The sequence below is a fragment of the Homo sapiens genome, chromosome 2 (assembly GCF_000001405.40).
Source record: "Homo sapiens chromosome 2, GRCh38.p14 Primary Assembly".
NCBI classification, from domain to species: Eukaryota; Metazoa; Chordata; class Mammalia; order Primates; family Hominidae; genus Homo; species Homo sapiens.
The window spans coordinates 199629052-199645465 of NC_000002.12; the positions used below are offsets into that span (position 1 = coordinate 199629052).

Sequence of the window (16414 nt, forward strand, 5' to 3'; positions counted from 1 at the left end):
CTTCTCTTGCAGGGTCAGCCCAAGAAGCAGGAAGCAGCAGTGCAGGGAGAAAAGAGTACTGGATTTAGAGTCAGACACCCAGGTTCAAGTTCTAGGTCAGCCACTTCTTTTGTTATATGATCTCTGGGGCTGAGTCTCACCACAGTTAACAGGCTGTGTCTGCAAAAAGGGTATCAAGGTGATAAAATGAGGCAGTATATTAAATTGTACTAAATACCCATTTGTAGGGCAAAACAGGCTACTATCAGCAATTTCAGATGAAATTTCATTTTCATCATAATTTATGAATGCATTTTGCAAAGCATAAATAACTATAGGGATTAAGATTCAAAGGGAATTAGAAAGCAAAGAAAAGGGATAGAGAGAGGAGATTCTGGTAAGTGCCCAAGTTTGGTGTGAATAGCAGTATGAGGGTTAAGGAAGCACAACCCAGCAGCTTCTAAGTTTCTTATAGCCAGAGGCAACTCTTTGATCCCTGGTCTGGCATCCTCTGTGTCAACAATTATGTCCCCTCTTCAACATTCCTGAAAACTGTTGTTACTTAGAGGTCTGTGTAGAACCTTTATGTATTCCAAAAGCAGAAAAATATATTACTTAGAACTCTTGTTTCCCCCACTCCCATTCTCCTTCCTTCAAAGCAAATGGAGAAAATGGGGTTCGTATGGTGGGGGGCAGTAACGTGGTCTCCTGGGAATTTCCAGTTTTATAAGCTTGCGTTTACTTTGTGGACTAACAGATTCAGGATTTCCAATAGCCTATAAAATTATTTTCTCTTCCATCTTTGTTTAAAATGCCACAATTAGGCAGATGATGACTATATGTATTCTATATTTATTTTGCCTAGACATATTTTCTTCTTCTTCTTTATTTAAGTTTGCAGTTCATAGAAGCAGTCTTCCCAGCTTGATTTTATTCACAGAAGAAAAAAGGCACCCCTGGGAAGTGCCTGACAAAAGCTTGAAGAGAGAAGAGGCTCTGCTGTGGTTTGAATGCGTCCCCCAAAGTTCATGTGTTGGAAACTTGATCCCCGATGCAGCAGTACTGGGAGGTGGGACCTTTGAGAGGTGTTTAAGTCATGAGGACCCTGCCCTCATGAATGGATTAATGCTGTTATTGCAGGAGTGGGTTTGTTATCTCGGGAATGGATTTGTTATAAAAAGAAAAGTTCAGCCCCCTTTTATCTCTCACCCATAGGATGCCCTTTGCCATGTTATGATCCTGCAGGAAGACCCTCACCAGATATGGCCCCTTGATCTTGGACTTCCCAGCCTCCAGAATTGTGAGAAATAAATTTCTGTTTTTAATAAAGTTCCTAGTTTGTTGCATTCTGTTATAGCTGCACAAAGCAGACTGAGACAGGCTCCTTTACTCATGGTGAAGAAGGTAAGTCCCTTATGACTTTATCAAATAAAAATAATGACTACAGGTAAAGGGCTAGAAATTTTTAGACAAAAGGCCAGTGGGTATCACAGGGAGCTTTCCAGTTGGCTGTTTTGGCAGAATGGCAAGACTTTCCTTCCTCATTCTCAAAGCTTCCTGACATTTACAGCTTTGGAAGGTGGTGAGTGAGAAAATTTTCCAAGGGACTCTAGACATTCTCAGAATCCCCTGGTTCCACACTTGCTAGATTATGGAAGAGAGAAGAGACACCTAAAAGGAAAAAAAAAAGGAAGGAGAAAGGGGAATCAGCTCTTTAGTCCCCTAAGACCCACTTGGCTGTGGCTCCTGGCTGCCAAGGGTTGCCTGTGAGTGGTTCTCCAGGCATGAACTGTGACCACCCTGCTATAGATTAATCCTTTCCTCCTACAAAGTTGGTCTTCAGTATACTTAATGAGGGAGAAATGGGATGTCTTTTTTTCCTTCCAGAATCACTCTAGTATGACCTGCAGAATGATTAGCGTGGCTCAGCCTCAGTTGGGATATCATGGCTTAAATTATTCCTATTAGTTTCCAGCTGACCTTGGAACACAAGCATTACATGTGATTTCAATGAAACTTTAGACTTTGTTGTTCTCAGTTAACTAGTGAAACAGTTGAACCTTCCCATGACTTGTGGTAATTATAATAAAGGGTAAGTATTATCACAAATAATGCAAACCGATTTACAAGATGGCAAAGTGATGTTCTGGAAGTTGTGCGCAAAGACAAAATGTGAACTGAACACTTAGAAAAAATGTAGTGCCATTCAAAAGGTTGATGCATTACTGCCAAAATACAACCCCACCTGACAGTATTACTTTACAGTGAGTTTTGGCACAACTCACTGGTTACAAGAAACATTGTGTTAACAGGAAAAGCCACTTTAAAACTCTGTTTGATACTTAAAGCTCTCAAATACACTCTAAACGTTTAAACCAACACTCCAAACTGATTAAAGCATTTATGGAAAATAAAAGTGTTTTGCCAGTGGGGAAAGGATGAGGAATCTTTGTTGTTGTTGCTTGTTTGTTTGTTTTTATCGAGGTGTAAAACAAAACCCCCAAATTTGACAGATTTCCCAGTTCTAATTAAGTTTTATGAGGTTAAGAGTTTATGCCACCCTTCTCAAACAATTTATCCAAACTCAATGGATTTTCAAATCACATATAATGACCCTTCTGGCCTAGGAGAGGGATGGTGTCCTCTTGATGGCCATATTCCTACTGTGGAATATAATTCCTGGCACATAACAGATGCTTAATAAATGTGTAATGAAGGTGGGAACTGTGCCTCATAATTCACTTTGAAGCACATCTAGCAACTCATCATATTTAAATAGTCATTTCAGAGATGTTTCATATACTCTGTTTTCTAGGACTGGAGTGTCATATCTCAGCTTCTCGCCCCTTGATCTCCATATGCCTGGTAAGCTCTTCTTCATCTTCAGATCACTTTCTTTGAAGATTCCCCAACTTGTGATGCCTAAGGCCCTGGAACCAGTCTCAATTTGATTTCTGGTTCTGCTACTTATAAACTTTGCCACCTTGATGAATGGCTTGATTGTTTTGTGTCTCAGTTTCTCCATATGTGAAGTGTATCTTCATGAGGATTTGGTAGGTTTATGTGTATCATATGATGATCACTAAATACATGTCAGTTCTTACTGCCTTCAGTACTTGCAATGTACTGCAATTTTTTGTTTGCTTGTTTTCCTTTCACTCAATTACAACTCACACAGAGTAGGACTTCTATCTTTTACCTTTGTGCTCCTGGGTTTACAAAATGCAGACTCTGAACTTGGTAAGAAAGCAATACATTTGCTGATTTACATAGTCCAAAACCATGCCATTCCCTGAGAGGCCAGTGAGGCCAATCTTTTCCTTATTCTTTAGGGATGTCCTTTCAGTTGCAAAAGACCATTTAGGTTAGAAACCTGTAAATTCCACATCTTGTGATTCCCCTGAGTAGGAACAAATTAGAGAGATTTAATCTTCACTAAGAATTCTGAAATAGCTTAAGTTTCACTTTGGGCAAGCTTTCTGTAGTGAATACAAATTGCCTTGCAGTGTGATTTTGTCTTTAAGAAATATTTTATTTTCTTTGTCATTATTTTGACCAAATTTACCTCATTCTTATTATATTTCATTTTCTGAATGAAAGTCACCTCCTTCCCTACTTGCACAACCAAGGACTGAGAGAGAGAAGTTTTCTGGGTACACCACTTTCTTCCAAAACTATCATTGATTGGAAGAATCTGTTTTTTCCCAACTTTTAACCACATTTTAAAGGCTTATACAAAGTATTTCCCCAGTTTCTGTTTTAAGTGATGTCATTCCCCAAGAACCTAATATTCAAAGAAAAATCATAATAAAAAAATGTACTTTTAGGCCACAAAACACACAAAAAACTGAAGCTATTTTGTTGTTTCTAGAAAAATAATTGCTTGTATACTGAACAAGCAGTTGGTGTTAAGCTCTAGCATCAGGTTTAAAAATGTAGATGAATTTACAGGAAAATGTCAAAGAAATACAAATACAGCTGGTACTTGGATAAGACAAAAATTGTGACCATTATAAAGAAATAACTTTGGTTTGGGAAACCCTGGGCTAGAGGATGTTGCTGGGGTTACTCAACTACGCTATGAGAAATGGAGGAGGGTTAAATCCTGGAGGTAGGATTTCCCCACCAGACTCTCTTCTCTGTGCTTCTTTCAGGGTCTACCTAGGGAAGCACAGTGGTCATGCCACTGATTCATACTGGAGGTCTTGAAAGTTAGCTGTCATCATGGCCTTCTTCATACAACAAGAAAGCATGAGATAGATCGTTAGCACAGCCTTGTCTCTCCCTCTTTGCTGCAGCAGAACTTTAATTTTTTTTATGACCTATGTGCATTAGTCTCTTCTCTCAGCTGAGGGAATTCAAGGTCTTAGTTGATGGTTAGTTACTTTCATTTTTTTTTCCTGTTATGGAAAGGAACCACTGAATTACCAAACTGTGAAAAGCAGTTTGTTATTTAACCATAGGGGACTCACAAATAAAAGAGGTCTCTTGGGTCACTGGGTTCACCACCTGCCAGTATGTGACCCTCCCACTCCCAAATAACCAAAAAATTATATTCAGTTCTTTGTCCACCCCAGTTTTCTGAGTTCCAATACTGCCTTCTAACCAATGGTATGCCAGTTGACAATGTCACTGGTAGAAAAGTCATTTTTGACAGTCTCAGAGTATCTCATAGATAGTTACTCATCTTGATCCTCCATGGGCCGGTTTACCATTTGCATTTCCTCCACTTAGCACACACGGCTCCTGAGCATCTACTCTCTGCCAGCCCTGGGGCTGGGCTAGGAGATACACAGCTGAGGTAGATCCAGTTCCTAAATGGCTAGGCCTCTACAAAACAAGTTATTTGTACTTTTCCTTCTCTCGCAAACCTCCTGCTGTTCTTTAATGTTCTTAGGGCCAGCTCTAGGCCCTGTTGGGAAGTAGGGGCCCAACAGCTGTGTTAGGGAATCTACTTAATCTCTATATTTTTTCTCGGGCATCCAGTGCCTCACACAGGCTCCCTACAGACTACCACACAGGATAGTCCCTATTGCCTCCAGCCCCTGTTCTCGAATAGCTATAGCAAGTATTCCTGGTGATAATAAATTTATTTTGCATTTTGAGCCGTCTCTCTGCTTGTGAATAGAAAGTCTTTGTGTGCTATTAGAGAAAGGAGGCTTTTTCAAGAGTCCAAAATCATATTCCACATTTTACTCACACAGAAGTTTAGCCTGGGCCGGGGTTGGCGGGGGCGGGTAAAATGGAAAAATTGTTTGATTATGGTCAGAAAACCTAGTCTCAACCCTGTCACTAACTGGTTGGGCGACCCTCAACAAGTCATTTAACCCTTCTGAGGCTTCACTGCTTTACTTCGTAAAATGAGACTGCTGCTCCTGACCTCATGATTCCAGAGATATTCGTGAGTCCAATGAGACAGCGTTTATAAAAGTGCTCTGTGAATTGCTGCGTGGTATACAAAAGTCAAGAATTCACAGCACAGTGGCCACTGGATCAGAGGAAACTTGTTTCCTGTGGAACCACACCCTACCACACACAACTATCAGGCAGCCTTTGGTTCTTTGCATTTCCTCACTCACATGAGGCGGTCCTAGAGAACCGCTATAATGTTAGAGGCAGAATTAGAGACTACACTCCTGCTCCCAGAAGCAAAAGCATGGACTGTCTTGCCCCATCCATGTGCTCACTCCAGCTCTTAGGCTGCAGGTGTCAGCATCATGAGGTCCAAACAGATTCCAAGTAAGACCATTCTAAGGTTCCTAACCTGGGCCTGTGCTGCCAGAGCTCTGTGGATAAGTTTTAGAGGCAAATCTCTTAAAGTGGTTTGCAAAATTGTGTGTACATGTATGTTGCTTTTTTTCTGTTTTATTTTTTTAAGAAAGTGTCCATAACTCAGATTTTTAAAATTATTTTTAATTGACACATAATAATTGTACCTTTATGAGATAGTGTGATATTTTTATATATGCACACAATGTGTAATGCTGAAATCAGGTTAATCAGCATTTCCATCACCTCAGACATTTATCATGTCTTTGTGTTGGGAATATTCAAAATCCACTCTTCTAGCTATTTGAAAATATACACTAAATTGTTGATTATAGTTACTCTATAGTGCTATAGGACACTAGAACTTATTCTCCCATCTAGCTATACTTTTCTATCTGTTAACCAATCTCTGACTGTCTCCCCCCAAACCTTGTAGTCTCTAGCAGTAACTATTCTACTCTCTACTTCTATGAGATCAACTTTTTTTTTCTTTTTTTTGAGATCAACTTTTTTTTTCTTTTTTCTTTTCTTTTTTTTTTTTTTGGACAGAGTTTCGCTCTTGTTGCCCAAGCTGGAGTGCAATGGCGCGATCTTGGCTCACGGCAACCTCCGCCTCCTAGGTTCAAGCGATTCTCCTGCCTCAGCCTCCCGAGTAGCTGGGATTACACTCATGCACCAAACACACCCATCTAATTTTGTATTTTTAGTAGAGACAGAGTTTCTCCATGTTGGTCTGGCTGGTCTCGAACTTCCAACCTCAGGTGATCCACCCACATCAGCCTCCCGAAGTGCTGGCATTACAGGCATGAGCCACCGCGCCCGGCCTGAGATCAACTTTTTAAGTTTCCACATGTAAAATTTTTATTCCAAGGCCTCTAGAACTCTCCTTTTACATCTGCGACATCAAATGACAATGTTCCATGTGGTGGTTCCTCCATCAGCCAGAGTGGGGATGGTGATGATGTAGAAGCAGAGCCCCTCCATATCTGTTGTATATTCTGGAAATACTCAGCCTAGGTTCTGATTCCTTCTCAGCTCCCAAAACCCTAACTACAAAGCTTTGGGCAAAAATCACTCATTTCCTTTAAAGTGTAATTTTCAGGCTTTTGCCCAAGGACAAAAATTCCCACTGCTGGCCACTTATGGTGGGAGTGGTTAGGGATGCTCTTTTAAAGGAATAACCTGGAACTAGCCACTGTTACCCTTTGCCTTTAGTGATTTTGAACTTGGAGCTTTCCTGGGACTCCTGAGAACATCCCATACGTATTCTTGTTATCTTGGGCTATGGTTTCCTCTGCTCTGTCTCTGTCTATTGGTTCACATATGTTTTCAGTATTCTAGGAATTCTTTCACATTTTTGACAAATACATGTTTTTCCGCATTGTTCTGCTTTCATTAAAAGAAAATATTTGCTGTCATTTCAAAAGCATCTTTTAAGGAACAGGAGGTAGATGTCTGTGCTCGGTCTAACATTTTAAACTGGAAGTTAATGCCCAATTTTAAACAAGGGTTATTTCAAGCAAGAGTTCCTAATGGGAAGACAAAAATCAGGTTGCTTCTGAGTTATCTAAGTAAAAGGGAAACATATAAGAATCTTAAGAATACAAACCACCTCCTTCTCCTGGGCATTGCATGAGCCCTTAATAAACAATTGTACTTAAGTTTTAGAAGCACAACTTAGAAGGACATGGAAATGTTAGAGAGGCCTAAAAGGATATAATAAAGATGATTTGAGGCTTAAGTAATAGGGTATTTGAGGAGAAGTAAACAGAATTAGGACTATTTATCTTAGCCAAATAAAATTTCAGATTGTCCTAATATAGTAAGGTTTCCTATGCATAAAGTGCTCATGTGCAGATCAAATTTTCTGTATCTCTGTTAAGGCCAAAATAAGTAGCAGCTGAACTTAACAGCAGAAAAAGAGCTTCAGGTGAAAAATTTTTTTAAAAATTTCTGAATTTTAGGGTTTTTAACATTGGTAATGGAATACCCAAGGAAGGTACAGAAAACAGTCCTCCAATTTTTAGGAAAAAAAAAATTGGGAAGGATGGTTTAGTTGTAGCTCTGTCTGAAGATAGGAGCCGACATTAGATTCTGTCCCTATGGCATTATGGTTCCCTGAGAGATTAAGTTGTGGTAAGTCTTTGGCACAATAGACACAAATTATGAGGTTGTTAATAAAGCTGTAAGTACGCATCTCTTCCATTATCTTTGTAGTAGGACATAACTCATGAGAAGTCTGAAATAGTAATGTATTGTGTTGGGGTACTCTGCCAACTATTAAAAAAATCATATTTAACTTTTCCATTATGAACTTGAGCCTTATTTGGAAGTTGTCTTCTTCCCATAAAATCTTCCCAGATAATGTTTTCCCAGCAACACTTGATAGGACGGCCTAACACATTCCCTGCTTAGTTATAAACCCCAGGCGGCTTATTGTTGCCTGTTCAATTATCTCTGGAGGTACAGATTTCCCCCTTATTCATTATTTTGATAGAATTGCCAACAAGGAAAAGGGAAGAAAAGAAAAATGGATTTTAGTAAGGATTATTTATTTTAGCCAAATAAAATTTCAGATTGTTCTAATACAGTAAGGTTTCAAACACATAAAGTACTTATGTACAGGTCAAATTTTCCACATGTGTCCAAAGGCCATAATAAGTAGAAATGGACTTTAACTGCAGAAAAAAAGTATTAGGTAAAAATACATAAAAATAACTTTCTGAATGTTAGGATTTTAAGTTTTGGCAAAGAGATACCAAATAAAGGAACAGAAACTAGTACTCCAATTTTTTTAAGAAAATGGGAGGGATGATTTAGTCATAAAATCTGTCAGTATTTCAATGATAGCGATTTTTCAAATTTTTACAAGGCAGGGAATCCTAGTTCTGTCTTTGTACTTTGGAAATGTCATGAAGATGTTATAAATCAGAAGTAAGGTTGTGGAGTTAACTTGCTGGTGTTAATAGCCCAAAGTTAGCTTAGGGGTTTGCACATCTAGCCTCTTTGACTGGATTTGAAGGATGGAAGTGTAGTAAATGAAACAGTAGTTCAGTTTATAAAAGTGCCCACAATTTGGTTAGGGACCACATTAACTGGGTTTATCTGGAGGTATAAAATCCAAAAGGTCAATGAAGGCTTATTCATTTATTCACCTCACTTTTCTTTCTTTCTTTCTTTCTTTTTTTTTTTTTTTTTTTTTTTTGCGACAGAGTCTCGCTCTGTCACCCAGGCTGGAGTGCAATGGAGCGATCCCAGCTCATTGCAACCTCCGCCTCCCAGGTTCAAGTTATTCTCCTGCCTCAGCCTCCCAAGTAGTTGAGTTTATTAGGCACCTCCCACCATGCCCAGATAATTTTTGTATTTTAGGAGAGACAGGATTTGCCATGTTGGCCAGGCTGGTTTTGAATTCCTGACTTCAAGTGATCTGCCCACCTCAGCTTCCCAAAGTGCTGGGATTACAAGCGTGAGCCACTGTGCCCAGCCTTATTTTATTTTATTTTTTCATTTAATGTAGTTACTTTACTTTTTTGTTGTTAATTTTTTTAATTTCCATAGGTTATTGGGGAACAGCTGGTGTTTGGTTACATGAATAAGTTCATTAGTGGTGATTTGTGAGATTTTAGTGCACCCATCACCCCAGCAGCATACACTGCACCCTATTTGTAGTCTTTTATCCTTCACTTCCTTCTCACCTTTTCTTTTGAGTCCCCAAAGCCCATTGTGTAATTCTTATGCCTTTGCATTCTCATAGCTTAGCTCCCACTTATGAGTGAAAACATACGATGTTTTCTTTTCCATTCCTGAGTTACTTCACTTAAAATAATAGTCTCCAATCTCATCCAGGTTGCTGCAAAGGCCATTAATTCATTCCTTTTCATGGCTGAGTAGTATTCCATTGTATGTATACACCACGGTTCCTTTATCCACTCGTTGACTGATGAGCATTTGGGTTGGTTCCACATTTTTGCAATTGTGAATGGTGCTGCTAAAAACATGTGTGTGCAAGTATGTTTTTGGTTTAATGACTTCTTTTCCTCTGGGTAGATACCCAGTAGTGGGATTGCTGGATCAAATGGTAGTTCCACTTTTAATTCTTTAAAAAATCTCCACACTGTTTTGCATACTGGTTGTACTAGTTTACATTCCCACGAGCAGTGTAGAAGTGTTCCCTGTTCACCAAATCCCGGCCAACATCTACTCTATTTTTTGATTTTTTGATTATGGTTATTCTTGCAGGAGTAAGGTGGTATCGCATTGTGGTTTTGATTTGCATTTCCTTGATCGTTAGTGATGTTGAGCATTTTTTCATGTTTGTTGGCCATTCGTATATCTTCTTTCGAGAATTGTCTATTCATGTCCTTAGCCCACTTTTTGATGGGATTGTTGGTTTTTTCTTGTTGATTTGCTTGAGTTCATTGTAGATTCTGGATATTAGTCCTTTGTCAGACATATAGATTGTGAAGATTTTTTCCTACTCTGTGGGCTGTCTGTTTACTCCGCTGACTGTTCCTATTGTCATGCAAAAGCTCTTTAGTTTAATTAACTCTTAGCAATTTATCTTTGTTTTTATTGCATTTGCTTTTGGATTATTGGTCATGAAATCCTTGCCTAGGCCAATGTCTAGAAGGGCTTTTCCAATGCTATCTTCTAGAATTTTTATAGCTTCAGGTCTTAGATTTAAGTCCTTAATCAGCCTTGAATTGATTTTGGTATAAGGTGAGAGATGAGGATCCAGTTTCATTCTCCTACGTATGACTAGCCAATTATCCCAGCAACATTTGTTGAGAAGGGTGTCCTTTCCCCACTTTATGTTTTTGTTTGCTTTGAAGATCGGTTGGCTGTAAGTATTTGGGTTTATTTCTGGGTTCTCTATTCTGCTCCATTGATCTATGTGCCGTTTGTTTGTTTGTTTGTTTGTTTGTTTGTTTGTTTGTTTTTGAGATAGAGTCTCGCTCTGTCACCCAGGCTGGAGTGCAGTGGCATGATTTCTGCTCGCTGCAACCTCTGCCTCCCACGTTCAAGTGATTCTCCTGCCTCAGGCTCCTGAGTAACTGGGATTATAGGTGTGTGCCACCATGCCTGGCTAATTTTTGTATTTTTATTAGAGACAGGATTTCACCATGTTGGTCATGCTGGTCTCAAACTCCTGACCTAGTGATCTTCCGGCCTTGGCCTCCCAAAGTGCTGGGATTACAGGCATGAGCCACCCCCCCTGGCCTATGTGCCTATTTTTATACCAATACCATTTTGGTGACCATGGCCTTACTTATAGTTTGAAATCAGTTAATGTGATGCCTCCAGATTCGTTCTTTTTGTTGTCTTGCTTTGGCTATGTGGGCTCTTTTTTGGTTCCATATGAATTTTAGAATTGCTTTTTCTAATTTTGTGAAGAATGATGGTGGTATTTTGATGGGAATTGTGTTGAATTTGTAGATTGCTTTGGGCAGTATGGTCAGTTTCACAATATTGATTTTACTCATCCATGAGTATGGGATGTGTTTCCGTTTGTTTGTGTCATCTATGATTTCTTTCAGCAGTGTTTTATAGTTTTCCTTGTAGAAGTCTTTCACCTCCTTGGTTAGGTATGTTCCTAAGAATTTTATTTTATTTTATTTTTTGCAGCTATTGTAAAAGAGGTTGGGTTATTGATTTGATTCTCAGCTTGGTCACTGTTGGCGTACAGAAGAGCTATTGATTTCTGTACATTAATTTTGTATCTGGAAACTTTGCTGAATTCCTTTATCTGTTCTAACAGCTTTCTGTAGGAGTCTTTAGGGTTTTCTAGGTAAACAATCATATCATCAGCAAAGAGCAACAGTTTGACTTCCTCTTTACCAATTTGGATGCCCTTTATTTCTTTCTCTCGTCTGATTGCTCTGGCTAGGACTTCCAGTACTATGCTGAAGAGGAGTGGTGAGAGTGGGCATCCTCACCTTGTTCCAGTTCTCAGAGGGAATGCTTTCAAGTTTTCTCCGTTCAGTATTATACTGGCTGTGGGTTTGTCATAGATGGCTTTTATTACATTAAGATATGTCCCTTGTATGCCAATTTTGCTGAGAGTTTTAATCATAAAGCGATGCTGGATGTTGTCGAATGCTTTTTCTGCATCTATTGAGATGGTCATGTGATTTTTGCTTTTAACTCTGTTTATGTGGTGTATCACATTTATTGACTTGCATATGTTAAACCATCCTTGCATCCCTGGTATGAAACCCACTTGATCATGGTGGATTATCTTTTTGATATGTTGTTGGATTCAGTTAGCTAGTACTTGGTTAAGGATTTTAGCATCTATGTTCATCAGGGATATTGGCCTGTAGTTTTCTTTTTTGGTTATGTCCTTTCCTGGTTTTGGTATTAGGGTGATACTGGCTTCATAGAATGATTTAGGGAGGGTTCCCTCTTTCTCTAGCTTGTGGAATACTGTCAATAGAATTGGTACCAATTCTTCTTTGAATGTTTGGTAGAATGCTGCTGTGAATCCGTATGGTCCTGGACTTTTTTTTTGTTGGCAATTTTTAAATTACCATTTCAATCTCATTGCTTGTTATCAGTATGTTTAGGGTATCTAATTCATCCTCATTTAAGCTAGGAGGGTTGTATCTTTCCAGGAATTTATCCATCTCATTTAGGTTTTCCAGCTTATGCACATAAAGGTGTTCATAGTAGCCTTGAATAATCTTTTGTATTTCTGTGGTATCAGTTGTAGTATCTCTGTTTCATTTCTCATTGAGCTTATTTGAATTTTCACTCTTCTTTTCCTGGTTAATCTTGCTAATGGTCTATCAATTTTATTTATCTTTTCAAAGAACCAGCTTTTCGTTTTATTTATTTTTTGTTTGTTTGTTTGTTTGTTTGTTTGAATTTCATTTAGTTCTGCTCTGATCTTGGTTATTTCCTTTCTTCTGCTGGGTTTGGGTTTGGTTGTTCTTGTTTCTCTAGTTGCTTGAGGTGTGACCTTAGATTGTCTGTTTGTGCTCTTTCAGACCTTTTGATGTAGGCGTTTAGGGCTATGAACTTTCCTCTTAGCACTGCCTTTGCTGTGTCCCAGAGATTTTGATAGGTTGTGTCACTATTGTGGTTCAGTTCAAAGAATTTTTAAATTTCCATCTTGATTTCATTTTTGACCCAATGATCATTCAGGAGCAAGTTATTTAACTTCCATGTATTTGCATGGTTTTAGAGGTTCTTTTTGGGGTTGATTTCCAGTTTTATTCTACTGTGGTCTGAGAGAGTGCTTGATATGATTTCAATTTTCTTAAATTTATTGAGGCTTGTTTTACGGCCTATCATACGGTCTATCCTGGAGAAAGTTCCATGCGCTGTTGAATAGAATGTATATGCTGGGGTTGTTGGATGCAATGTTCTGTATACATCTGTTAAGTGCATTTGTTCCAGGGTATAGTTTAAATTCATTGTTTCTTTTGTTGACTTTCTGTCTTGATGACCTGTCTAGTGCTGTCAGTGGAGTATTGAAGTCCCCTAACTATTATTGTGTTGCTGTCTGTCTCATTTCTTCAGTGTGTTAGTAATTGTTTTATAAATTTGGGAGCTCCAGTGTTAGGTGCATATGTGTTTAGGATTGTGATATTTTCCTTTTGGACAAGGCCTTTATCATTATACAACGTCCCTTTTTGTCTTTTTTAACTGCTGTTGCTTTAAAGTTTGTTTTGTCTGATATAAGAATAGCTACTCCTGCTCACTTTTGGTGTCCATTTGCATGAAATGTCTTTTTCCACCACTTTACCTTAAGTTTGTGCGAGTCCTTTTGTGTTAGGTAAGTCTCCTGAAGGCAGCAGATGGTTGTTGAATTCCTACCCATTCTGCAATTCCATATCTTTTAAGTGGAGCATTGAGGCAATTTACATTCAATGTTAGTATTGAGATGTGAGGTACCATTTCATTCATCATGCTATTTGTTGCTTGTATACCTTGGTTTTTGGTTATTTGTTTTTTTTTTTTGTTCAAAGTTTTGTTTTTGTCTTTGTTTTTGCTTTTTTTGAGATGGAGTCTCACTCTGTCACCCAGGCTGGAGTGCAGTGGTGCCATCTCAGCTCACTGCAAGCTCTGCCTCCTGGATTCATGCCATTCTCCTGCCTCAGCCTCCAGAGTAGCTGGGACTACAGGTACCCACCACCAAGCCTGGCTAATTTTTTTTTTTTTTTGTATTTTTAGTAGAGACAGGGTTTCACCATGTTAGCCAAGATGGTCTCGATCTCCTGACCTCATGATCCACCCTCCTCGGCCTCCCAAAGTGCTGAGATCACAAGTGTGAGCCACTGCAGCCGACCTGTTTTTGTTTTTTAAATTGTATTTTTGTTTTATAGGTCCTGTGAGATTTATGCTTTAAAGAGGTTCTGTTTTGATGTGTTTCCAGGATTCGTTTCATGGTTTAGAGCTCCTTTTAGCAGTTTTTGTAGTGGTGGCTTGTTAGTGGTGAACTCTCTAAGCATTTGTTTGTCTGAAAAAGACTGTGTCTTTCCTTCATATATGAAGCTTAGTTTCACTGGATACAAAATTCTTGGCTGATAATTGTTTTGTTTGAGGAGGCTGAAGATAAGGACCCCAATCCCTTCTAGCCTGTAGGATTTCTGCTGAGAAATCTGCTGTTAATCTTATAGGCTTTCCTTTATAGGTTACCTGGTGCTTTTGTCTCACAGTTCTTAGGATTCTTTCCTCTGTCTTAACTTTAGATAATCTGAGGACAATATGCCTAGGTGATGATCTTTTTGCGATGAATTTCCCAGGTATTTTTGTGTTTCTTGTATTTGGCTATCTAGGTCTCTAGCAAGGCTGGGGAAGTTTTCCTCAATTATTCCTCCAAATAAGTTTTCTAAACTTTTAGATTTCTATTCTTCCTCAGGAACACAAATTATTCTTAGGTTTGGTTGTTTAACATAATCCCATATTTCTTGGAAGCTTTGTTCATATTTTCTTATTCTTTTCTCTTTGTCTTTGTTAGATTGGGTTAATTTGAAGACCTTGTCTTCAACCTCTGAATTTCTTTATTCTACTTGTTCAATTGTATTGCTAAGACTTTCCAGAGCATTTTGCATTTTAAAAGTGTGTCCATTATTTTGTGAAGTTTTGAATGTTTTTTATTTATTCCATCTATTTCCTTGAATATTTCTCCCTTCACTTCTTGTATCATTTTTTGGATTTCCTTGCATTGGGCTTAGCCTTTCTCTGGTCCCTCACTGATTAGCTTAATAACTAACCTCCTAAATTCTTTTTCAGGTAAATCAGGGATTTCTTCGTGGTTTGGGTCCATTGCTGGTGAGCTAGTGTGATTTGGGGGGAATGTTAAAGAACCTCATTTGTCGTATTACCAGAGTCGGTTTTCTGGTTTCTTCCCATTTGGGTGGTTTCTGTCAGATGAAAGGTCTAAGGCTAAAGGCTGTTGTTCAGATTATTTTGTCCCACAGGATGTTCCCTTGATGTAGTAGTCTCCCCCGTTTCCTATGGATGTGTCTTTCTGAGAGCCAAGCTGTAGTGATTGTTTTCTTGCTTTTGGATCTAGCCACCCAGCAAGTTTACCAGGCTCTAGGCTGGTACTGGGGATTGTCTGCACAGAGTCCTGTGATGTGAACTGTCTGTGGGTCTCTCAGCCATGGATAACAGCACCTGTTCTGATGGAAGTGGCAGGGGGGTGAAATGGACTCTGTAAGGGTCCTTAGCTTTGGTTGTTTAATGCACTATTTTTGTGCTGGCTGGCCTCCTGCCAGGAGATGGCACTTTCCAGAGAGCATCAGCTGTGGTAGTAAGGTGGGGAACAGGTGGTGGGCAGGGCCTTAGAACTCCCAAGAGTATATGCCCTTTGTCTTTGGTGGGTAGGGAAGGACCACCGGGTGGGGGTAGAGCTAGGCATGTCTGAGCTCAGACTCTCCTTGGGTGGGTCTTGCTGCGGCTGCTGTTGGGGATGGGGGTGAGGTTCCCAGGTCAATGCAGTTATAGCCCTCGGAGGATTACGACTGTCTTTACTATGTCATGAAAGTTGTTAGGGAAGTGGGGGAAAGCCAGCAGTCACAGGCCTCACCCAGCTCCCACACAATCTGAAAGGCCAGTCTCACTCCCACCATGCTCCCCACAACAACATCAAGTCTGTTTCCAGGCAGTGGGTGAGCAGGGCCACATACCCAGCTGCAGAAGCAAATATGGCTTTCCTTCTTCCTCTGCCTGTGGAGTCTGCACACCGGCTTCACGCCCTCCCCAAGTTCTGGCCAGGAGGCCTCTCAATCAGTTCAAAGTGTTACAAAGTTCTGCTGGAGATTTCCTTCTCCCTGTGGCCTTTTCCCATCACCTCTGGCCACCCTCCCAAAGGACCCCTGTGAGGCCAGGCAAAAACAGCTTGCTAGGGGACTCACAGAGCTGCCATGGCTTTTCCTGCTGTTTCCTCTACCCCTGTATTTCTCTCGACTCTCTAAATTGACTCAACTCCAGGTAAGGTCAAAATCTTCTGTAACCTAGGACTTCCATTTCCCCAGTGGGGGTGTGTGTTCAGAGGTGGATGATCTCCCTTTCCCAGTTCTACAGTTTGGACACTCACAGTATATGGGGTGTCTCCTGGGTCCTTCAGGAGCATTCTGATTCCTTCAGGGTGGGTCCTCTCAGGTTTTCTGATTTGTTTCTGCAGTTGTTTTGGAGCAAAAATTCAGTGTGAACC

At 39.7% G+C, this 16414-nt stretch overlaps 1 long non-coding RNA gene across 1 annotated transcript in view; it reads left to right on the plus strand.

Annotated features, from left to right (window-relative positions):
- Positions 1–16414, plus strand: part of LINC01877 (long intergenic non-protein coding RNA 1877) — a 51065-nt gene that overhangs the window by 20984 nt on the left and 13667 nt on the right. The window contains exons 3-5 of the long non-coding RNA NR_110270.1: positions 13–95; positions 874–1048; positions 1195–2844. This is a non-coding gene — a long non-coding RNA (long intergenic non-protein coding RNA 1877). The remainder of the gene's footprint in view (positions 1–12; positions 96–873; positions 1049–1194; positions 2845–16414) is intronic.